The 24,962-nt window shown below is 37.8% G+C and overlaps 1 protein-coding gene across 1 annotated transcript in view; it reads left to right on the forward strand.

Annotated features, from left to right (window-relative positions):
* Nucleotides 1-3,624: 3,624 nt before the first annotated feature.
* Nucleotides 3,625-24,962, forward strand: part of TPRG1 (tumor protein p63 regulated 1) — a 328,078-nt gene continuing 306,740 nt past the window's right edge. Inside the window, exons 1-2 of the transcript XR_001740120.3 lie at nt 3,625-7,309; nt 10,941-11,158. The gene's annotated coding sequence lies outside the window, so the exon portion shown is untranslated. The remainder of the gene's footprint in view (nt 7,310-10,940; nt 11,159-24,962) is intronic.

Raw genomic sequence — 24,962 nt, forward strand, 5'->3', positions numbered from 1 at the left:
GCAAAATGGAAAGCCACGTGTCAGGCTACTTCCATTAGTGTGTTCTAAATCAGTATAAAGAGGAATAAGCAGATACGAAGAAAAAGAACACTGAAGAAGACTGCAGATCAGAAACAGCTTCTGGCTGTTTGAATTCAGCAAATTGGGACATCTTCTCCATGTGACTAGGACAGAGTATTGGAAAATAATTTTATCCTAAAGTAATCTGATATTTAGGATTGTTGAAAAATATCTTAGTTTACAATTCTTCTTTGATTCCTAAAAGAGAGAATGGCTCACCCAGACCCCATTTTTTCTTACTTCATACCTAGACTTTGGCACTTTTTTAGTATTGTGGATAGTGAATGGAAACATGTCGTAAAGTTCTAGAAGATGGAATTCATACTTTTCCGTAAGTTTTTTTTTTTAAAGACCAACAATCTTATCTTCTTCCAAGACGATCCCAAAAAGATTTAAAAGGAAATTTAATCATATTACAAGGTATCTCCTAATAGAAAATGAAATTTGGAAACATGGTTTTTCATATTTTTTCCTTGGCAACCATGTTCTGCTATGGTGCCACATTTTAAGAGGGACATTAACTAGATGACATGTATTCCAGATAACATGTCTAAAATGTCACTGGAATATAAAACCATATCATTTTAAAATGTTTGAAGGGCCTAAAGAATTTAACATAAAGAGGACAGAGAGTGCATAGCTTGGCAATAGTATTCAAATAGCAGATATCTATTCCTCCTGTGAAAGAAGAACTGTATGTTCTGTAGGACTTAAGGGAGTAAAAAAGAAAGACTAAATTAAAGTTAGAGTAGGTCCCTTCACCTGATTACAGGGAATGATTTGCAGTGTTTAGAGCTGTCCAGAAATTGAATGAGCTGTCTAGAAATTGAATAAACTGTCCAGACCAGTGAGCTCCTTGTCAGTGGATGTGTTCAAGCAGAAGCTAAGTAACCACTTGCTAGAGATATTTTAAAGAGTTAAGACGGAGAGTTGTCTTAATTGATGTGATATCCACTTGAACCCAGGGTGTCTGTGATATTAGTTATTATTAGTCTCCTCAGGGAGGTTCTTGATGCATTGTAACCTGGGGCTCAGGAGTTGAGCAAGGATGAATAAATTGAACTTTAAAGGCTAAGTTTGAAATATTTTTTCTTATCTTCTGAAGTCAGAAAGATTTCAATGTTTATATTATTATGACTGTAAAAGCAAGGTTTATTGTTAAGATAAATAATAAATTATGATTGCTTGAGTTTTTATACAGTTCTTTGTTTTCCCTGAAGTCAATAGTTGCCTTGTTTATTAATTTTTCTTATTTTTAAATACATATAACTAATTTGTTTCCAGATGTTCTGTTTTATAAAATACTCTGCATTATTATTTTATACACAACCAAATGCACTAAATCATCCATCAAGTGCATGTAGCAATTGGTACCCAACTGTTAGTTATATATCCAACATCCATTGTCCTTTTTTCTTTTACTAATGGGAGCCGCATACAAGCTTAAGGTAACAATATGTCCAGCTTTAGAAATCATTTCCTAGCCTTTCTTGCAGCAAATATGTCCATAAGATACAGCCTTCTAAAGAAGATGTAAATAGCTGTCTACTGGGGTTTAGGGACAGGTCCTTTCCTGTTAAAGGCATTGCCTATTTCTCCTTATTACCACCACCATCACATCCTCTTCTTCATCCTCCTTCTCCTTGTTTTTCCCCTCCTTTTCTGCTCTGTCTTCTTCCTTCTTGTCTGAATATACTGATTTTAGGTGAGGGGTTGAGCAGCCTTTACATCACATGAGGAAACTGTAAGAATAAAGATATAAGGAGCAGGATTTTAGAGACAGTAATGGCAATGCAAAAACAGTCCAGCACTTTTCATCTGTGGATCTCTGCTTAAATGTTGGAAAATATCTTTTTAATTTAATGACTTTGGTAAGGCTTATAAAATATCCAGCCAAATACAACCCTAACTGATACCAATGACGTTTCCAATCAGTGTATTTCTCAATAAATTATGTTGATACATGTGTCTAGCTGTGTGGGAAAAAAGGAAGTGAAATCTTTTCTTTTTACACCAAAATTAATTCTGTAGGAACGAATAATATCAATGTAAAAAATGAGAGAAACCATTGAAATTTTAGAAAAACCTACATTTTATAAAATATAATCTTCCATTGTGGAAGGTTTGTCTAAGTATTACTGAAACCACCAAGATAAAATGATCACTAAATATAACCAAATAGCAATTAAAATTTTCTATGCAGATGTCTTAATGAGGCAAGTAATTAATTGCTAAGAAAATTATGACCATACTAAAGCAGAGAGCTAATATCCTTAATATATAAAGAGCTGTTCAATAGCAACAAGAAAAATGTATCGAAGTTAAAGAAAAATTGTCAAAGGAAACAGACAATTCCAAGAAAAAAGAAAAGCATCTGTGGAAAGCCTCTCACAAAACAGACTAAATAAATAAAATACAATAACAAATAAAAATAATTAAAGTAGATATAATGAAAGAAGCCAATTAAAATTATAAACAATATCCTCAGAGAGATATAAAAATATAGAATATTCTGGAAATAAGAATATGATGTTTCATATCTTTAAAAACCAAACAAGAAACAAGAACAACTGGAGAATAAAAAAGAGCTTTGGGAGATTAAAAATATGTAATAAAAAGGTCTGAAGAATGGCTGGAATACAGACATAACCGGGAAATTAAAATAAAAAAGACAAAGGACATAGTTAATAGAATAAAGAAGAAAATTGAAAGACTAAACCATATCCTCAAAGAGTCAACTATCAGGAGCTCTGGAAATAAAGACCAGAGTAAACAGTGAAGAAGAAATTACCCAATCAATGATTGAAAAAAAATTCCCAGATCCAAAGGACCTGATTTTTCAGGTTGAAGATGTACATGTCATGGCTATCATAAGAAGTGAAAAAAAGACCAAGAATACTGTGGACAGAGAGAAGTTTTCTAAAAGCTACTAGGAGAGAAGATGCCATATACAAAAAGATCAGAAATAAAAATGGCATCTCCATCTATTTGTATTTTACTTTAACGTTTAATCTGGAAAATATGTTGAAATTAATTAAATATGTTTTCTACTGAAATTGAGTCTTAAACTGTGAGATACCTCTTAGCTATGAGCAACATGACTACAAGAGGGACTTGGTGCTAGAGGGTAGGTACACTGGCACAAACTATTTTCCTTGCTGGAAAAACAACTCAAAGCAAGTGAGGTTCGTCAGTGCCAGTTCGAAGTGCTTTCTTTCTTTCTCTTTTTTTTTTTTTTTTTCTGAGTCTCACTCTGTCACCCAGGTTGGAGTGCAGTGGTGCGATCTTGGCTCACTGAAACCTCTGCCTCCCAGGTTCAAGTGAATCTCCTCCCTCAGCCTCCTGAGTAGCTGGGATTACAGGCGCGTGCCACCATACCTGGCTAATTTTTTATATTTTTAGCAGAGACAGCGTTTCACCAAATTGGTCAGACTGGTCTCGAACTCCTGACCTCGTGATCCACCAGCCTCAACCTACCAAAGTGGTGGGATTACAGGCATGAGCCGCTGCACCCGGCCAGAAGTGCTTTTTAAATTCATGTCATTTATGTTTTCTTCTCTCTCTCCCTCCTTCTATGCATTTTTTTCTTTAGCAAACATTTTCAAGATTTGACATAGGTAGAATAATTTCTAAGCTGAGAAGCATCCATTCTATTGCCTTATGTGTCACTTTTCCCCTGGGGCTCTCACTGTAATCGCTGGCTCCATCAGATGGTCCTCTTTAAATACTCTCTTACTTTCTGTACAGTTCAGAAAATCTTTCCTCAGATTTTTAAATACATCAAACTCTGAGGAAAGCTATAGGAAAATGTTTTTCTTATGAAGTACAGTGTAACGTTTTGATCTTCTAGAGTGATCAGTTGTTCCAGTTTGCCAGAGGCTGAGAGGGTTACTGGAACATGAGAATTTCAGCTTTAAAACCAGGATAGTTCTAGATAAACTGAGATGAGTTGGTCACCCTCGATCTGACTCAAGTAATTCACTGTCTGAGATAGCTACCCTTCAGCCTCAAAGAATGGCCACAACCTCTCAGGTTCCTGAAACAAAGTTTATCATATCTATAGTTCCTGGAAATATCTTCATGAAGGGACATCCGAACAATTACATTCCAGGAGCTGTCTCCTATATATCTTTATGACTATATCACGAAGTATAAAAAGGGAAATTTTCTCCTCTGTACTTCCTCCCCTTGCTCCTCTCCCAAGACCCTGATTTCTGTTTCTAGTTTGAGACACGATTTTTCCCCATTGGCTTTACTTTACATAGATCCTTTCTCTACACATCAGAATTTAACTTTACCCTTGCCAGAGAAAAAAAAATTCACATTCATTCATTCATTCATTCATTCCCTCCCTCACTCATTTGTTCAATTAAAAAACATACAAAGTTCTTGCTAAGGGTCAGGCACGATTTTAGGTGCTGGGAATTTGGTGGTTAAAAAAAAGAAGTGTTCTTGCTGCCATGAAACTTATGTTCTTATGGGAGCAGACCATAAACAAACAGAAATATGATAGTAACATAATTTACATGAGTATAAAATCAAGTGGTGTGATGGGATAAAAAATAATGGGATGTATTTAAAATTGGGCATTAAGGAAAGACCTTTGTAAGGAAATCAAATGTGAGCTGTAGCTTAGAAATATGAGAAGAAGCTAGCTCTGAGAAAGTTTAGGGAAAAGAAGAGTGACAACTATAAAGTTCCCCAAATGGGAGACAGCTGGACTTGTTTAAGACACAAGGCCAGTATGGCTGGAACATAGGAAACACATATGGTATGACTTGATGTTAGAAAGGCAGAAAGGAACCACAGCATGCTAGAGTTTTGTGGGTCATGGTAAAGAATCTGTGTAAAGACACTAGATGGTTTTGAAAAGGAGAGTGATGTAGTCTGAATTACATTAAAAATGTTAATCTTTTTGTTTCAATGGATAAATGGATAAAAAGTGTGGTACACATACACAGTGGAATACTATTCAGTCATTAAAAGGAATGAAACCCTGTCATTTGCAGCAACATGGATGGAACTGGAGTTCATTTTGTTAAGTGATAAGCCAGGCCCACAAAGGCTAATATCACATACTCTCACTCATATGTGAGCTAAAAAAGTTGATCTTATAGAAGTAGAGAGTGGAATGATGCTTACCAGAGGCTGAGGGGGTGTGGGAGGAAATGAAGAGAGGTTTGTTAATGGGCGCTAAAATGTAATTGGACTGAAGGAACTAGTTCTATTGTTCAGCAGCACTGTAGGGTGACTATAGTTAACAGTAATTTGTTGTGTATTTCAAAGTAGCCAGAAGGGAATATTTGGAATGCTCCCAACACAAAGAAATGATAAAGGTTTGAGGTGATGAGTATCCTAATTACCCATATTTGGTCATTACAATTATTATGTATCAATAAAAAACATAAATCTCTTTGGCTATTGTGTGGAAAGGATCACAGGAGGTAAGGGTAAGGGTAGTGAGACCAGTTAGGGAGGTGTTGTGTGGTTGTTCAGGGGAACGTAAGAGCTGGCTTGTTCTAGGGTGGAATCAGTGGAGAAGGAAAGTGGTTGAAGTTGGGACATATTTTGAAAGTGAAGATAACAGGACTCCCTGTTGGATTAAATGGGGTGGTGGTGAGGGAAAGAGAAGTCTCCTTGACTTCTGGTGCGAGTCAAAGGCAGCTGTTGGTGTCTAAATACTATTCATTGATCACAGCACTCATGGCATGCCTACAATAAGAGCTACAGAAAAGAGACCATTCTGAAGTAAGCAAAGCATTTTCCTATGACATTACATATTTCTCCACCACAGTATGGACAGTATGCACAGGGGTTAGGAGCAGTGGCTCTGGAGCCACACTGCTTAACTGCGTAATTCCATCCTGCCATATGGTGACTATGGATCTAGGTTAAAATAACTTATTTGCCCTTTTTTTCTTATGAGGAGAATAAGTAATACACACTTCATAGGATTTTGTGAAAATTAAATGAGTTAACACATGAAAAGTACTTAGGAAAATGCCTGGCAAGAAATGATAGTTATTATATTTATTACTTTTTTTATTGGCTGTATAATATTTGATTATGTAAATGTATTAATTTATATAATAGGTCTCCCCACTTTCTTGGATATTTAGATGATTTCTAATGGGCTTTATTAGCTATAGTTATACAATGAACACTCTTTCACATATATACATATATACGTACATACTTTTCCATTATTATGATTATTTATTCAGGATAAATTTCTACGGTTTGAATCTGGTGGCTTAAATAATCTAAAAGATGCATGATTTAAGAGTTTTGATACATATTGCCAAATATTATACCCTTTTATACTCCCACTAGCTGAGTATTTCCTTACACCATAGCCAAATTTGGATACTATAATAAAAAAGAAAATAACACATTTACAAATTTGGTAGAAAAAATTACATTCTTATTATTTCAGTTGACTTTAAAAATTATGGAATAGACTGAATGTTTTATGCAATAGTTAGCTGTTGGCCAGTTTTCTTTTGGAGTATTTGGATTTTTCTTTTTGATTTGTAGCAGTGTTTACCTGCTATTTTTGCTTCAATTTAGTTTAGTTTATCATTTGGTGGTGGTTGTTGGATTCAATGTGTACATCTTTTACTATATTGCATTTGTCTTCATCCTGATATCATGTAAACATCAACCATATTTTTAAAGGGCTAATTTATTTCAGCATATGGTATAAATTTATACCATAGATATTATGATATAAACCTAATATCTAGGTTTTTATTTTTCAAAATAGTTAATTGTTCCATATCCTTTATTTACTCTTGAATTTTTTGTTCTCCTTTAATTTAAAATGCTTACCCTAAAACACTACTGAGCTATTTCTATAGGAGTTTGTATATAAGTATGCAGATGGATTCATTTTTAAAAATGGAACACACTCACCTCATTTTTAATGTACAAAATTATTACATGTGTGTGGCTCTGTTTTTGAGTTTTCCTCTCTGTTTCATTTGGCCATCTCTGTATTCCTATACCAGTATCCTATTAGTGAGGTAATTGTAGCTCTTTAATTCCATTATGTATGTTCATGTGCATATTTATATATATTATACATATGTATTTTTTTTTTTTGAAACAGGATCTCACTCTGTTGCCTAGGCTGGAATGTGGTGGCATGATCACAGCTCACTGCAGCCACAAATTCCTGGGCTCAAGCAATCCTCCTGCTTCAGCCTCCTGAGTAGCTGGGACTATAGGCAAGCGCTACTGTGCTCAGGTAATTTTTGTATTTTTGTGGAGATGGGGCCTTGTTTTGTTGCCCAGGCTGGCTTCAAGTGATCCTGCCACCTTGGTCTCCCAAAGTGTTGGGATTACAGGCATGAAACACCACATCTGACCTCATTTAATATGTTATGTGTAAGTCCTCTAAATTATTCCTCACTTCAAAATGACATTGGAGTTTTAACTAGAATGGTCTTAAATGTAAAAATGAATTTTGGAGAATGTTAACAACATGAAACATCAAATCTCCCCAACCAGAGACATGTATTCATTCACTCTTCAAGTTTCACAATTTTTGAGTTGAAATATTTAAGCAAGAAAGACAAACAACTAAATCACAACAATAAAACAACAACAACAACAACAAAACCTTTTTGTCTTGAAGAAATTTTACTCTTTGTCCTAGTCTGTTCGAGCTGCTAACAAAATCCCATAAACTGGGGGCTTACAAATAGCAAACATTTATTTCTGAAGGCTGGGAATTCTAAGATCAAGGTATTGGCAGATTCAGTGTCTGGTGAGGACCCTTTCTTCATAGGCTGAACCTTTGCTCACTTCAGGACTGTGTGTTCACTTGGTTGGAAGGGCAAACAAGCTCCCTTGGGTCTCTTTTAAAAGACACTAATTCCATTAATGAGGGCTCCATCTTCATGATCTACTTACCTCCCCAAAGTCCTACCTCTTAATATCATCACTTTGGGAGTTAAGTTTCAACATATAGATTTTGAGGGACACAAACATTCAGACCAGTGCAGCTTTGTGTTATTGAAAGATGCTGAAGACAAGATGAGCTCCATGACTCACTTCCTTGGCTCAAGATATGGAAGTCATGGAAGTGAGTTTCAAGTCATGGAAATGAGCTCCATGACTCACTTCTTTGACTTCCATGACTCAAGATAAGATGAGCTCCATGACCCTTTCTGAGTGTGAGGATTGGAAATACAGAAACAACAATAATGCATTATATGTGTGTGTTGCTGTTTTACTTATCAAAGTGTTTTTTAAATCTAAATATTACTTAACCTTCTCAGTATCTGTTGGAGGAAGGCAGGCAAACTGCTTAAAGTTCCATTTTATAGAAGAGGAACTTAGCGGGCAGAGCCCAAGTTGCCCAGGACAGCACAACTAGTTAACGTGGCCTTTGGCTTAAGATTAGGTCTTTTGGATTCTGGAGCTGGCTCCATAATACTCCTTAGCCTAGTGGGTTCTGGTTATGAAGAAAAGGATGGGTATAAATTGAAGAGCCTTAAATATGCAGCGCGCTGCCTCATGGGCCCAGGCCACCCTGATGCAGATACTTGATTCAGGGATACTTAGTTTCTACATTTCCAACCTCCTGCTTTGTCTCCTCCACAGAGGCCAACATTCTCTTTTTTTTTTTCCTTGTTACTTTCCTCCTTTACAGCTTGTTCTTGTGAAAACAACTGATATATCTATAAATTTCACAGGGATTTTCTTACACTTAAGCTGTTGACAGGTCTAAAGTCTAAATTGTGAGGCAAAAATCTGATGCCATAGACATCAGAGAGCTGAGCTAGAAAGGTGATGTTTTAATCCAGGTGAATTTTTCAGTTTCTAGAGTCATACTATGTAGGAAGGGCTTGCCTGGCCATTGGACAGATTCCATATAGCGTATGAATTCACAGAGTTGGAAGAACCTTTATATGCAGCATCCCAAATGCCTCTCTGAAGTCCTTAACTTTAAGGGAAACCTGCTCACTCCATTCTCCCTGGAGCTCCATGTTGATAAATTACCCGAAGGAATTTTATGAATCTACATCTTTTATGTCTGCAGACATGACCTTTCATCTGATGAATATTGAAACAGAATTCTCCAGTACAATAGAGGACTTGTGGACATTAGTAGGAGCTTGCTCTGAACCAACACTGGTTTCATCCAGGACTTGAACCTGGGCATTATTTTCTATCTGCTCAGTATATTGACCTGTCAGCACCTTACTTATTTTTTAAGCACATGCTCAATGGCCACCCACTCCAAGAGGTTTGAATGATTTAATACATGAAAAACATTTAACCACACCTAGCTTATATATAGTAAGAACTCAATAAATATTAGCTATTAATAATTTTAAAATGGCTTCCGAGTCTTCTAAACAAAGACTGAAATATGAGCTCGGCTTAACCTGTTAGGTGTATTAAAGGCATAACGACATTATTTTTCATTTGCCATAGTCACCTGAAGCTGTTGTTTCAGAGACAATGATTGTGTTTGGGTACTACTTACTGCTTGGTGTAAACCACATTCCACGCGCTAGTGTTCAGGTAGTCGCACAGAGAGGGAGAGAATTAGAGAAAATGACAGTGCCAGTGTCATCCATTAGGCACTGAGTCACAAGGCTTTGAGGTTAACATGGACTTGGAGACTACCTAGCCCTAAAGGCTCCTACAGCACTTCCAACCAATAAGCCCCATGGCTCTGTGTCACTGTCTCCTTAAAATGGCAAAGTAGCCTATCCTATCTCTAGATAGCTATGTTAAATCCTCTTAATTTGGAACAAAATGTGACGTTAGGACTTTTACCTAGGATTCCAGTTCTGTTCTCTGATACCACACAGGAAAAGTTTAATCTCTCCTCTTTGAGACTGTTCTTCAAAATTCTTGGAGACCTGCAGTAGCTAAGCACTCTAGGATCTAGTTGTAGAGCTCTGGCTTGTATATTGATTGACTTCAAAGGTCAATTTGTATAATGTACTCTCCTGATTCATCTTTGGTGACTGAGTATGACTAGAGATTTAGTTTTATCCCTAGATGGGTTGGCATTACAGTTCTCTCTTGTAGACTGGTATGAGAAGTCATTCCTGATCCTTCTACTTTCCCAAATGCTACCCTTTTAAAGACTCTTTGTGTATGCCAGAGGGTACCATGGTTCAATATTTATATTCTGTTCTTCTTCAAAGTTTTCCTTGCTGTAATATTTTTTTTCTGAAACTCACAGCTGTATACTTAGATCTTGCAATTCCTTCTCTTGGGGGTAGTGGGGGATTTATACCATAGGGCTGAGAATCCAGGAATGGATCTTACCATATGGCCCTTGCCCCTGATTAAATCTGCTCGCCATTTTGTCCGAGTAAAACTCGGTGAAAATAAACATTATAAGTGAATCCGACAGAGAAAACTGATGCTGCTGAAGGGCCAAAAAAGACAAAATGTTTGGATGAATGTGAGCACCAGGTTTTCTTTAATTTCATTTTAATAGTTGCTGTATTTTTGGAAATGGTAATGCATTTATGTGGTTCAAAAATTTAACGTTTATCTGTACACCAAACCCCCATGACACAATTTACCTATATAGTAAACCAGCACATGTACCTCTGAACCTAAAATTAAAGTTAAAAAAAATACAGTGTTAACAGATGTACACTAAAAATCTGTTTCCCACTCCTGTTCCTAGTCACTGTGTGTTTCCTTGCTCACTGTGATTAAGTTTCTAGTGTGTAGTTTTGAAATGACAAGAAATATAAATGCATATTCTTATTTCCCCCTGTTTACATGATGGATAGTTCTGGCAGAAGCCATAGTGTTCACCAATATTCACACTCTTTTCTATCTAATAAAGACTTCGTGTGTGGATAAAACTCTTCCTTATGTGATCTTTTCTCTTTTAGCTCTCACTCTCTGGCTGAATGTAGAGGACTCTGAAGGCTTAGGCAAGAGGGGAGTTATAAGGCACCACAGAACCCTGAATGACTGCATGGAGCAGAACCCTTCGCAAACCTGCTCTTCAGGCCTCCTTTTTGAGACAGCTGGAAAAGATTCTTTCTCCTTTTCTAGCAATTACTTCCTCCCTCCGACTCAAATGCCTACTCAGCCTCTAGTATTCAGTGTAAGTACGTGTATCACTAGAAATCTAGATCTGGGGATTTAACCTCAGAAGCTTTCTCTGCCTATCCTAACCCATACTGCCCATTTTTTAAAATTTTATTTTTATTTTTAATTTTTGTGGGTTCATAGTAGGTATATTATTTATGGGATATATGAGATGTTTTGATACAGACATGCAATGTGAAATAAGCAATAACATGGATGGAACTGGAAATCATTATGTTAAGTGAAATAAGCCAGTCACAGAAAGACAAGCATCACATGTTCTCATATTTATGGGATCTAAAAATCAAAACAATTGAACTCAGGGACATAGAGAGTAGAAGAATGATTACCAGAGGCTGGGAAGGGTAGTAATGGGCTGGGAGGGGTGAGAAGGTGGGACTGTTGCTCACTTTTAAACCAATGCCTTATAGCATATTTTACAGTCTAATTTAGAAGTTTACATCTGTTCTTACTCGGCAGATCATAAGCTGCTTGAACTCATAGAAAATGTTTTTTGCTTCTTGTATCACCTCAGTGCCGAGTAAAGTGTGATACAAAGTGGGGACTCAGTATATCTTAATTGATTCACTGATTTTCTAGTGGAACAGATGAGAGGTGACTGGGGAGCTTGAATGAGCTATCTCCACATCAGATTCTGAGTCTGAACTTTTGGCCCAATCTAGAACTCTCCAGGAGTATTTTGAGGTATCTTCCAAGAAAATTTTCAAATCAGGAAAAAACTATCATTTTTATTGAGGACTTAGCCAAAGTTGAATATTTAGTAATTTAGGAAATTTTGCTGACAGCTTTGATTGTGTTGACTTTTAAGCATTAATAATTCCATAAAAAAGAGAAATTAGCTGGGGATTATGTTCCTTTATTTAAAGAAGTGAACAAAAGTGTTTCTGGGCACGTACATGTGGCTAAGGAGATTCATTTTGAGTTGAGAAGGAAATTCCCATTATATACCATCTTTCTTGAAAGGAGTCATCTAATTTTCTTCTTCCTTTGGGGATATTTTCATTACTTTTAAAAGGCTAATGGTGGAAGAAACTTCTCAACACAGGTCCATATGATGAAATAATTAATTAATTAAATTTATTCAGCAGTAATTGAGCACTTAGTAAACTAAAGGCACTATACAAAACAGGATGAAGCATGTAACAGAAAATGGAAGCATATGCAAAATGAAAAGAATACTGGATAAACAGCAACAACAGCAGTATCAATAGCAGTAGTAATGGTAGCTGCTATTATTCAGCATGTATTCATGCCAGGAACACTAATTATATAATTCCTAACTCTCAAAATAACCCTTCAAAGTAAGTATTTACTAATATACATATTTTTATAGTTAAGAAAATTGGTAAAACTACGAAGCGTATTTGAATATAGCTGTTTCTCAATCCGCATGCAGCTTCCCGATCACTAAGCACACTTTCTTGCAGTACAGGGGCTGGGTTCAAGTCTAGATTTTGTCTCTTAATGTTTGTTGAGCCTCAGTTTTCTTACCTTAACATCTGGATGATGATCATCTTGGCTCTACTTATCTCCCAGGAGGATGTTCTAATCAAAGGGCCTAGAGGATGTGAAAGGGTTTGTGTAGAACCCATAACACAATAGTGTGGAAAGTGATAAATGATGCAATACAGGCACTGAGGAGAAGGTAGCGGTGTCCAGAGGGAGAGACACCCCTGTTGGGATATCAGAACAGTAATAAACATTTGTGGATATAGGCTTTTGGGGAGCAGCCATGGCTTCTGCTCTGAAAGAGTGGCTCTCCTCTGGCAGGCAGATACACTCTGACAACTATAATGGAGTTCTAATCACAAGGCAAAAATCTAAACTTGAACTCAGGCCCTGTGACTACAAGAAAGTGTGTGGAGTGGTGGGGGAAAGCTACATATGGATTGAGAAACAACTGTATTCTAAAGAGCACTGTCATCACAATCATTACAGTCCCAGTTTAAAAAAAAATGTAGTAATTTCTTTATATGCCTTAGGGGTTCTAAGTCAGGGGTGAGCAAACTTTAGCTTCTCGCCTAAGTGTTTGTTTTTGTAAATAAAGTTTTATTGGAATACAGCCAGGCACATTTTTGAATGTATTTTCTATGGCAGACTTGAGTCATTGCTACAGAGACCGCATGGCCTGCAAAATTTAAAATATTTACAATCTGGTCCTTTAAGAAAATGATTCCCTAGAAGAAAACCTAGGCATTACCATTCAGGACATAGGCATGGGCAAGGACTTCATGTGCAAAACACCAAAAGCAATGGCAACAAAAGACAAAATTGACAAATGGGATCTAATTAAACTAAAGAGCTTCTGCACAGCAAAAGAAACTACCATCAGAGTGAACAGGCAACCTACAAAATGGGAGAAAATTTTCGCAACCTACTCATCTGACAAAGGGCTAATATCCAGAATTTACAATGAACTCAACCAAATTTACAAGAAAAAAACAAACAACCCCATCAAAAAGTGGGCGAAGGACATGAACAGACACTTCTCAAAAGAAGACATTTATGCAGCCAAAAAACACATGAAAAAATGCTCATCATCACTGGCCATCAGAGAAATGCAAATCAAAACCACAGTGAGATACCATCTCACACCAGTTAGAGTGGCAATCATTAAAAAGTCAGGAAACAACAGGTGCTGGAGAGGATGTGGAGAAATAGGAACACTTTTACATTGTTGGTGGGACTGTAAACTAGTTCAACGATTGTGGAAGTCAGTGTGGCGATTCCTCAGGGATCTAGAACTAGAAATACCATTTGACCCAGCCATCCCATTACTGGGTATATACCCAAATGACTATAAATCATGCTGCTATAAAGATACATGCACACGTATGTTTATTGTGGCATTATTCACAATAGCAAAGACTTGGAACCAACCCAAATGTCCAACAATGATAGACTGGATTAAGAAAATGTGGCACATATACACCATGGAATACTATGCAGCCATAAAAAATGATGAGTTCATGTCCTTTGTAGGGACATGGATGAAATTGGAAACCATCATTCTCAGTAAACTATCGCAAGAACAAAAAACCAAACACCGCATATTCTCACTCATAGGTGGGAATTGAACAATGAGATCACATGGACACAGGAAAGGGAATATCACACTCTGGGGACTGTGGTGGGGTGGGGGGAGGGGGGAGGGATAGCATTGGGAGATATACCTAATGCTAGATGACGAGTTAGCGGGTGCAGCGCACCAGCATGGCACATGTATACATATGTAACTAACCTGCACAATGTGCACATGTACCCTAAAACCTAAAGTATAATAAAAAAAGAAAAGAAAGAAAAAAAAAAAAACGTTCTAGAAAAAAAAAAATGATTCAAGGGATCCTACTTTAAATGGAGACAGCAGGCATCAGTTAAATAAAAATAATGGTCATGTTACACATGTATCTGCATGTGTGTGAGTGGTGAGAGGGGCCAATGGGGTGAGCAATGCGAGTGCCATCGACTTTGTCCACTGTTGATGGAATCTACTTTGTTCGCAGTTAGTCACTAGGAGAGGCAGCACACTGTGATCAGTTGTTCACAAGTTTGGCTGCATATTGGAATCACTTGGACATCTTTTAAAACTCTTCATGCACAGGCTGTACCCAGAACAATGTAATTAGGATCTCTTCAAATATGATTGATGATCAGTGATTATTATAGCTTTACAGGTGATTCCAATGTGCCGCTAAAGTTGCAAATCATAATGTAGTGGAAATAACCTTGGCCTGGGTTTCTAAAATGTAGTTCACAGCCCAAGAATTAGTACAATTTTACTTTAACTAACTACTGAGTGTATAAATGAGAAATTAGTTGCTATTCATGCTTTTTTTTCCTTCCAAAGCAGTATTTTTTACTGTCTTTCTTGGACTGACAAGAAGCCTGGGAGGCTCTAAAGCAATGGGATTATTAATTTGGGTTTTCTTCTTGCTGTAAGAGATTGTGCATGCTCCATGCACAATAGATTTCAGAGTTTATGGACACTGGAAGGCATCAAAATTGTATGGAAAAGGAAACAGCCATCGGGCTAGTCCCTTGGGATTTAAGATGTGCTGAGGAAAACACAACAGAACACAATAAAATATTGTCTCTGTTTGAATAGAGTTTTTAAGCATTATTCTATAGTGCCTAATGGCAGAGAATGGGCAACTCAGTACTTTTTCTTATCTCTCCAAGACCTCTTTACTCTTCCTGGATTGAGAATGAGTGGGTCGGCAAAGGTGATTGAGAAGGGTGTGCGAGTAAACTGGGGATTTGCTATTTGCCTTTGTGCTGTGGCTTTTCATTTGATACCATAGAACTAATTGTTTACCCCAGCACAGAGTAGGCCTACTAAATCAATGAATGCATTCTGGTTATCTTCAATCAGTAACCAGAATGCATTCACTGATTCCACCACTGTTTCGTGGCCCACCGGCTGGCTATGAGAGCTACAGAGTCCAAATTTGGGGTGTGTTTTCTGAAGCCATGATCAAAATCCAAGTATGTTCATTAGGGTTGTGGAAGGATTGTGGAAAACTTAACCCTATTAACTCATTAGCTCCCATTAATATTGATAATTTATTTGACTGGTCTGAGGGAAAGGACATTGGCCTAGTAAATGTAAATAATACCTAAGAGAAGTGGGTATACTAGACCAAGGAGTAGGATGAGAATGATGCTAGTTAGGGAAGGCAGATGTATTGAGACCCTTTAAGGAGGGCCTGCGAAATTGGATAAGTAAAAATTCTACTCAGTGAAAAGGTCTCTTTTCCCCTCCAATTGTAAAAGTAACCCCTGATTTTATATACATATACAGCACCTGCAGAAATGCAAAGAAATATATTTTAAAAAGCAAGAAAACTAAAATCATCTCATAATCTTCTCTATTAATGCTTTCTGATCATTTTTTCCATTTATTAATGCAAAGTTCTTTCCCAATAGAAATAAATATAATATTTATATCTAGTATTTACCAATAGTGTTATCTTATGACTCTCAGGTGGTCGACACCCAGGTGCAATAATTCTCTCTCTTTTTTTTATTTCCAACTTTTATTTTAAGTTCAGGGGTACATGTGCAGGATGTGCAGGTGTGTTATATAGGTAAATGTGTGCCATGGTGGTTTGCGCGCAGATCATCCCATCACCCAGGTATCAAGCCCAGCATCCACTAGCTATTTTTCCTGATCCTTTCCCACCCCTTGCCCTCCCACAGGCCCCAGTGCATGTTGTTCCCTACCATGTGTTCATGTGTTCTCATCATTTAGCTCCCACTTATAAGTGAGAACATAGGTATTTCATTTTCTGTTCCTGCATTAGTTTGCTAAGGATAATGGCCTTCAGCTCCATCCATGTCCCTGCAAAGGACATGATCTTCTTCCTTTTTATGGCTGCATAGAATTCCATGGTGTATATGTACCACATTTTCTTTACCCAGTCTATCACTGATGGACATTTAGGTTGATTCCATGTCTTTGCTGTTGTGAATAGTGCTCCAGTGAACATGTGTCTTAATAATAGAAAAATTTATATTCCTTTGGGTATATACCCAGTAATGGAATCACTGGGTTGAATGATATTTCTGTCTTCAGCTATTTGAAGAATCACCACACTATTTTCCACAATGGCTGAGCTAATTCACACTCCTACCAACAGTGTATAAGCATTACTTTTTCTCCACAACCTCACCAGTACCTGCTATTTTTTAGCTTTTTAGTAATAGCCATGACTGGTGTGAGATGGTATCTCATTGTGGTTTTTGATTTGCATTTCGCTAATAATCTGTGATGTTGAGCATTTTTTTCATGTTTGTTGGCTGCATGTATGTCTTCTTTTGAAAAGTGTCTCTTCATGCCTTTTGCCCACTTTTTAATGGGGTTGTTTTTCTTTTGTAAATATGTTTAAGTACTTTGTAGAGTCTGGATAACAGACCTTTGTCAGATGGATAGATTTCAAAAATTTGTCCCATTCTGTAGGTTGTCTGTTTACTCTGTTGACAATTTCTTTTGCTGTGCAGAAGCTCTTTAGTTAATTAGATCCCATTTGTCTATTTTTGCTTTTGGCATCTTCCTCATGAACTCTTTACCCATGCCTATGTCTTGAATGGTATTACTAGGTTTTCTTCTAGGGTTTTTATAGTTTTGGGTTTTACATTTAAATCTTTAATCCAGCTTGAGTTGATTTTTTTGGTATATGGTGTAAGGAAGGGGTCCAGCTTCAATCTTCTGCATATGGCTAGCCAGTTCTCCCAGCACCATTTATTGAACAGGGAATCATTTCCCCATTGTGTGTTTCTGTCAGCTTTGTTGAAGATCAGATGGTTATAGGTGTGTGGTCTCATTTCTGTGTTTTCTATTCTGTTAGATTGATCTATATGTCTGTTGTTGTCCAGTACCACATTGTTTTGGTTACTGTAGCCTTGTAGTATAGTTTGAAGTCAGGTAGCCTGATGCCTCCAGCTTTGTTCTTTTTGCTTATGATTGCCTTGTCTAATCGGCTCTTTTTTTGTTCCATATGAATTTTAAAACAGTTTTTCCTAATTCCGTGAAGAATGTCAATGGTAGTTTAATGAGAATAGCATTGAATCTATAAATTACTTTGGGTAGGATAGCCATTTTCACGATATTGATTCCTTCTATCTGTATTAGTTCATTTTCATGCTGCTGAAAAGACATATTCGAGAATGGGCAATTTACAAAAGAAAGAAATTTAATGGAGAACTCATAGTACCATGTGGCTAGGGATGCCTCTCAATCATGGCAGAAGGCAAGGAGAAGCAAATCAAATCTTACTTAGATGGTGGCAGGCAAAGAGAGCTTGTGCGGGGCAACTCCCATTTTTAAAACTATCAGATCTTGTGAGACCCATTCACTATCATGAGAAGAGCATGGGAAAGACCGGCCCCCATGAATCAATCATCTCCCACTGGGTCCATCCCACAACATGTGGGAATTATGGGAGCTATGAGATGAGATTTGGGTGGGACAAAGAGCCAAACCATATCACTATCCATGAGCATGGGATGTTTTTCCATCTGTTTGTGTCCTCTCTGATTTCTTTGAACAGTTATTTGTAGTTCTCCTTGAAGAGGTCCTTCACTTTCCTTGTTAGCTGTATTCCTAGTTATTTTATTCTTTTTGTAGCAATTGTGAATGGGAGTTCATTTGTGATTTGGCTCTCAGCTTGCCTATTGTTTGTGTATAGGAATACTAGTGATTTTTGCACAGTGATTTTGTATCCTGAGACTTTGTTGAAGTTGTTTATCAGTTTGAAAAGCCTTTGGGCTGAGATGACGGGGTTTTCTAGAGGTAGGATCATGTCATCTGCAAACAAAGTTAATTTAGCTTCCTCTCTTCCTATTTAAATATGCTTTATTTCTTTCTCTTGGCTGATTGCCTTGGCTGGAACTTCCAATACTATGTTGAATAGGAGTAGTGAGACAGAGCAACCTTGTGTTGTGCTGGTTTTCAAGAAGAATGCTTCTAGCATTTGCCCATTCACTGTGATATTGGTTGTGGGTTTGTCATATATGACTTTTATTATTTTGAGGTATGTTCCATTAAAACCTAGTTTATTGAGAGTTTTTAAATGAAGGAATGTTGAATTTTATCTAAGGCCTTTTCTGCATTTGAGATAATCATGTGGTTTTTGTCTTTAAGTATGTGATGAATTATGTTTATTAATTTGTGTATGCTGAACGAGTCTTGCATCCCAGGGATGAAGCCTACTTGATAATGGTGGATAAGCTTTTTGATGTGCTGCTGGATTTGGTTTTGCCAGTATTTTGTTTTCAATTTTTCAGAATAGTTTCAGTAGGAATGATACCAGCTCTTCTTTGTACATCTGGTATAATTCAGCTGTGAATCTGCCTGGTCCTGGACTTTTTTGGTTGGTAGGCTATTTATTACTGACTCAATTTCAGAACTCATTATTGGTCTATTCATGGATTCAATTTCTTTCTGGTTCATTCTTGGGAGGGTGTATATGTCCAGCAATTTATTCATTTCTTCTAAATTTTCTATTTTATGTGCATAGGGATGTTTATAATATCCTCTGATAGTTGTTTTTATTTCTCTAGGGTCAGTGGTAATATCCCCCTTATCATTTCTGATTGTGTTTTTTGAATCTTCTCTCTTTTCTTCTTTGTTAGTCTAGCTAGTGGTCTATTTTATTAATTTTTCAAAAAATCAGTTCCTGGATTTGTTGATTTCTTGAAGGATTTTTCATATCTCTACGAAGGAGATAGAAATATCTTTTGTATTTCTATCTCCTTCAGTTCAGCTCTAATCTTGGTTATTTCTTGCCTTCTGCTAGCTTTGGGGTTTGTTTGCTCTTGATTCACTAGTTCTTTTAGTGATGTTAGGTTGTTATCTTGAGATCTTTCTAGCTTTTTGATGTGGGCATTTGGTGATATAAATTTCCCTCTTTTCACTGCTTTAGCTGAGTCTCAGAGATTCTGGTACTTTGTATCTTTGTTCTCACTGGTTTCAAAAAACCTTCTTGATTTCTACCTTAATTTCATTATTTACCCTAAATTCATTCAGGAGCAGGTTGTTCAATTTCCATGTAGTTGTATGGTTTTAAGTAAATTTCTTAATCTTGAGTTCTAATTTGATTGTGCTGTGGTCCAGGAGACTGCTTGTTATGATTTCAGTTCTTTTGCATTTGCTGAGGAGTGTTTCACTTTCAATTATGTGATCATTTTTTTGAGTAAGTGCTATGTGGCAATAAGAAGAATGTATATTCTGTTGTTTTGGGTCAAAGGGTTCTGTAGATATCTATCAGGTCCACCTGATCCAGAGCTGAGTTCAGGTCCTGAAAATCCCTGTTATTTTCTGTCTTGATGATTTGTTTAATATTGTCAGTAGGGTGTTAAAGTATCCCACTATTATTGTGTGGGATTTGAGGTCTCTTTGAAGTTTTCTAAGAACTTGCTTTATGAATCTGGGTGCTCCTGTATTTGGTGCATAAATATTTAGGGTAGTTAGCTCTATGCTACATATATATGAACCCTCTACCCTTATATATTGCCCTTCTTTGTCTTTTTTTGACTTTTGTTGATTTAAAGCCTGTTTTGTCAGAAACTAAGATTGCAACCCCTGCTTTTTAATTTTTTCATCCATCCCTTAATTTTGAGCCTGTGATGTTCTTACCTGTGAAATGGATCTCTTGAAGATAGCATTGCAGTGGGTGTTGGTTCTTTATCCAGCTTGCCACTCTGTCTTTTCATTGGGGGCCCATGTCGTCTTCTTACATTTAAGGTTAGTATTGTTATGTGTGAATTTGATCCTGCCATCATGATGCTAGCTGGTTACTTTGCAGACTTGTTTATGTGGTTGTTTCATAGTGTCACTAGTCTGTGTACTTCAGTGTGTTTTTGTAATGGCTGCTAATAGTTTTTCTTGTCCATATTTAGTGTTTCTTTCAGAAGGTGTTGTAAGGCAGGTCTAGTGGTAACGAATTGCCTCAGGATTTGCTTGTCTGAACAGGATCTTATTTATTTCTCCTTCACTTATGAAGCTTAGTTTGGCTGGATATGAAATTCTTGGTTGATATTTTTTTCCTTTAAGAAAGTTGAATACTGGCCCCCTATCTCTTCTGGCTTGTAGGGTTTCCACTGAAAGGCCTACTGTTAGTCTACTGGGCCCCCACTGTAGGTGACTTGGCCTTTCTCTCTCACTGCCCTTAACATTTTTTCTTTTATTTCGACCTTGGTGAATGTGATGATGATGTGTCTTGGGGTAATCTTCTCATGGACTGTTATAATGTATGATATGGTTTGGCTCTGTGTTCCCACCTAAATCTCATTTTGAATTAGAATTCCCACATTTCATGGGAGGGGCCTGGTGCAAGGTGACTGAATCATGGGGGAAATCTTCTCCCTTGCTGTTCTCATGATTGTGAGGGAGTTCTCACAAGATATTGTCATTTGAAAGTGTGTGGCACTTCCCCCTTTGCTTTCTCTTTCTCCTGCTCCACCAGGGGAAGATGTGCCTTGTTTCCCCTTTGCCTTCCACTATGATTGTAGGTTCCCTGAGGAGCCCCAGTCATGCTTCCTGTTAAGCCTGGAGAACTGAGTCAACTAAATGCCTTTTCTTCATAAATTACTCAGTCTCAGGTAGTACTTTATAGCAGTGAGAAAATGGAATACTACAGAAAATTGGTACCAGGATAGTGGGGCACTGTTATAAAGATACTTGAAAATGTAAAAAGAACTTTGGAACTGGTTAGCAAGTAGAGGTTGGAACAGTTTGGAGGGGTCAGAAGAAGATAAGATGACGCAGGAAAGTTTGGAACTTCCTTGAGATTTTTTTGAATAATTTTGACCAAAATGGTAATAGTGATATGGACAAGAAAGTCCAGGGCGAGGTGTTCTCAGGTGGAGATGAAGAACTTATTGGGAACTGGAGTAAATGTTATTCTTGCTAAGCTTTAGGAAAAGACTGGTGGCATTGTGCCCCTGTTCTAGGGATCTGTGGAACTTTGAACCTGGGAGAGATGATTTAGTGTATCTGGTGGAAGAAATTTCTAAGCAGTAAAACATTCAAGATGTGGCATGGCTGCTTGTAACTGTGTACAGTTATATGCATTCACAAAGAGATGGTCTGAAATTGAAACTTATGTTTAAAAGGTAAACAGAGCATCAAAGTTTGGAAAATTTGCAGCCCAACTATATGGTAGAGAAGAAAAAAACATTTTCTGGAAGAAATTAAAGCTGCTTGCAGAAATTTGCATAAGTAAAGAGGAGCCAAATGTTAATAGCCAAGACAATGGGGAAAATGCCCCCAGTGCATGTCACAGACCTTCGTGACAGCCCCTCCCATCCCAGTCCTGGAGGCTTAAGAGGAAAAAATGGTTTCATAAGCCAGGCCCAGGGCCCTGCTGCTCTTTGCAGCCTTGAGACATGGTGCCCTGTGTCCCAGCTACTCCTGCTTAAGCTGTGGCTAAAAGGGGCCAGGATACAGCTTGGGCCATTGCTTCAGAGGGTGCAAGCCCCCCAGACCTTGGTGGTTTCTATGTGGTGTTGGGCCTGCAGGCACACAGAAGGTAAGAGTTGAGGTTTGGGAACCTCCACTTAGATTTCAGAGGATTTATGGAAACAAATGGATGTCTAGGCAGAAGTTTACTGTAGGCACAGATCCCTCATGGAGAGCCTGTACAAAGTCAGTACAGAGGGGAAATGTGGAGTTGGAGCCCCCACACAGAGTCTCCACTAAGACACTGCCTAGTGGAGCTGTGAGAAGAAGGCTACCATCCTCCAGACCCCAGAATGGTAGATCCAATAACAGCTTGCACCGTGTACCTGGAAAAGCTGCAGGCACTCAATAACAGCCTGTGAAAGCAGCCAAGAGGCCTGTACCCTGTAGAGCCACAGGGGTCGAGATGCCCAAGGCCTTGGGAACCCATCCCTGGCATCAATGTGGCCTTGATGTGAGACATGGAGTCAAAGGAGATTATTTTGGAACTTTAAGATTTAAAGACTGCCCTGCTGGGTTTCAGAATTGCTTGGGGCCTGTAGCACCTTTATTTTGGCCAATTCCTTCCATTTGGAATGGGAGTATTTACCCAATAATTGTGCTGCCATTGTATTTTGGAAGTAACTAAGTATGTCCCTTCTGTATATGAGCCTCTTTTTGATTTTATAGGCTCATAAACAGAAGGGACATACTTTGTCTCAGATAAGACTTTGGATTGTGGACTTTTGAGTTAATGTTGGAATCAGTTAAGACATTGGGGGACTGTTGGAAAGGCATGACTGGTTTTGAAATGTGAGAAGGACATGAGATTCGGGAGGGGCTGGGATGGAGTGATATGATTGTGCTCTGTGACCCCACCCAAATCTCATTTCAAATTTTAATCCTCATGTGTTTGGTGAGGGACCAGGTGGGAGGTAATTGAATTATGGGGGTGGACTCCTATCTTGCTATTCTTGTAATAGTGAGTGAGTTCTCATGAGATCTGGTTTTATGAAAGTGTGTGGCACTTCCCCCTTCATGCTCTCTTTCTCCTGCTCTGCCATGGGAAGATGTCCCTTGCTTCCCCTTCACCTTCTGCCATGATAGTAAGTTTCCTGAGGCCCCCCAGTCATGCTTTCTATTAAGCCTACAGAACTGTGAGTCAATTAAACCTCTTTTCTTCATAAATTACTCAGTCTCTGGTAGTTCTCTATAGCAGTGTGAAAACGAATTAATATACTGGGTTCTCTGCATTTCCTGAATTTGAATGTTGGCCTGTCTAACTGGGTTGGGGAAGTGCTCCTGGATGATATCCTGAAATATGTTTTCTAAATTGGTTCCATTCTCACTGTCTCTTTCAGGTACCCCAATCAGTTGTAGATTTGGTATCTTTTCATAATCCCATATTTCTTGGACATTTTGTTCATGCCTTTTCATTTTTTTTTTCTAATCTTGTCTGCCTGTCTTATTTCAGAAAGACAGTCTTTGAGCTCTGAGATTCTTTTTTTTTTTATTAAAATATATATTTTTTTATATTATTATACTTTAAGTTTTAGGGTACATGTGCACATTGTGCAGGTTAGTTACATATGTATACATGTGCCATGCTGGTGCACTGCCCCCACTAACTCGTCATCTAGCATTAGGTATATCTCCCAGTGCTATCCCTACCTGCTCCCCCCACCTCACAACAGTCCCCAGAGTGTGATGTTCCCCTTCCTGTGTCCATGTGATCTCATTGTTCAATTCCCACCTATGAGTGAGAATATGCGGTGTTTGGTTTTTTGTTCTTGTGATAGTTTACTGAGAATGATGATTTCCAGTTTCATCCATGTGCCTACAAAGGACATGAACTCATCATTTTTTATGGCTGCATAGTATTCCATGGTGTATATGTGCCACATTTTCTTAATCCAGTCTATCATTGTTGGACATTTGGGTTGGTTCCAAGTCTTTGCTATTGTGAATAGTGCCGCTATAAACATACGTGTGCATGTCTCTTTATAGCAGCATGATTTATAGTCATTTGGGTATATACCCAGTAATGGGATGGCTGGGTCAAATGGTATTTCTAGTTCTAGATCCCTGAGGAATCGCCACACTGACTTCCACAAGGGATGAACTAGTTTACAGTCCCACCAACAGTGTAAAAGTGTTCCTATTTCTCCACATCCTCTCTGGCACCTGTTGTTTCCTGACTTTTTAATGATCGCCATTCTAACTGGTGTGAGATGGTATCTCATTGTGGTTTTGATTTGCATTTCTCTGATGGCCAGTGATGGTGAGCATTTTTTCATGTGTTTTTTGGCTGCATAAATGTCTTCTTTTGAGAAGTGTCTGTTCATGTCCTTTGCCCACTTTTTGATGGGGTTGTTTGTTTTTTTCTCGTAAATTTGTTGAAGTTCTTTGTAGATTCTGGATATTAGCCCTTTGTCAGATGAGTAGGTTGCGAAAATTTTCTCCCATTTTGTAGGTTGCCTGTTCACTCTGATGGTAGTTTCTTTTGCTGTGCAGAAGCTCTTTAGTTTAATTAGATCCCATTTGTCAATTTTGGCTTTTGTTGCCATTGCTTTTGGTGTTTTAGACATGAAGTCCTTGCCCATGCCTATGTCCTGAATGGTAATGCCTAGGTTTTCTTCTGGGGTTTTTATGGTTTTAGGTCTAACGTTTAAGTCTTTAATCCATCTTGAATTGATTTTTGTATAAGGTGTAAGGAAGGAATCCAGTTTCAGCTTTCTACATATGGCCAGCCAGTTTTCCCAGCACCATTTATTAAATAGGGAATCCTTTCCCCATTGCTTGTTTTTCTCAGGTTTGTCAAAGATCAGATAGTTGTAGATATGCGGCATTATTTCTGAGG

Source organism: Homo sapiens, chromosome 3 (genome assembly GCF_000001405.40).
Source record: "Homo sapiens chromosome 3, GRCh38.p14 Primary Assembly".
Lineage (NCBI taxonomy): Eukaryota > Metazoa > Chordata > Mammalia > Primates > Hominidae > Homo > Homo sapiens.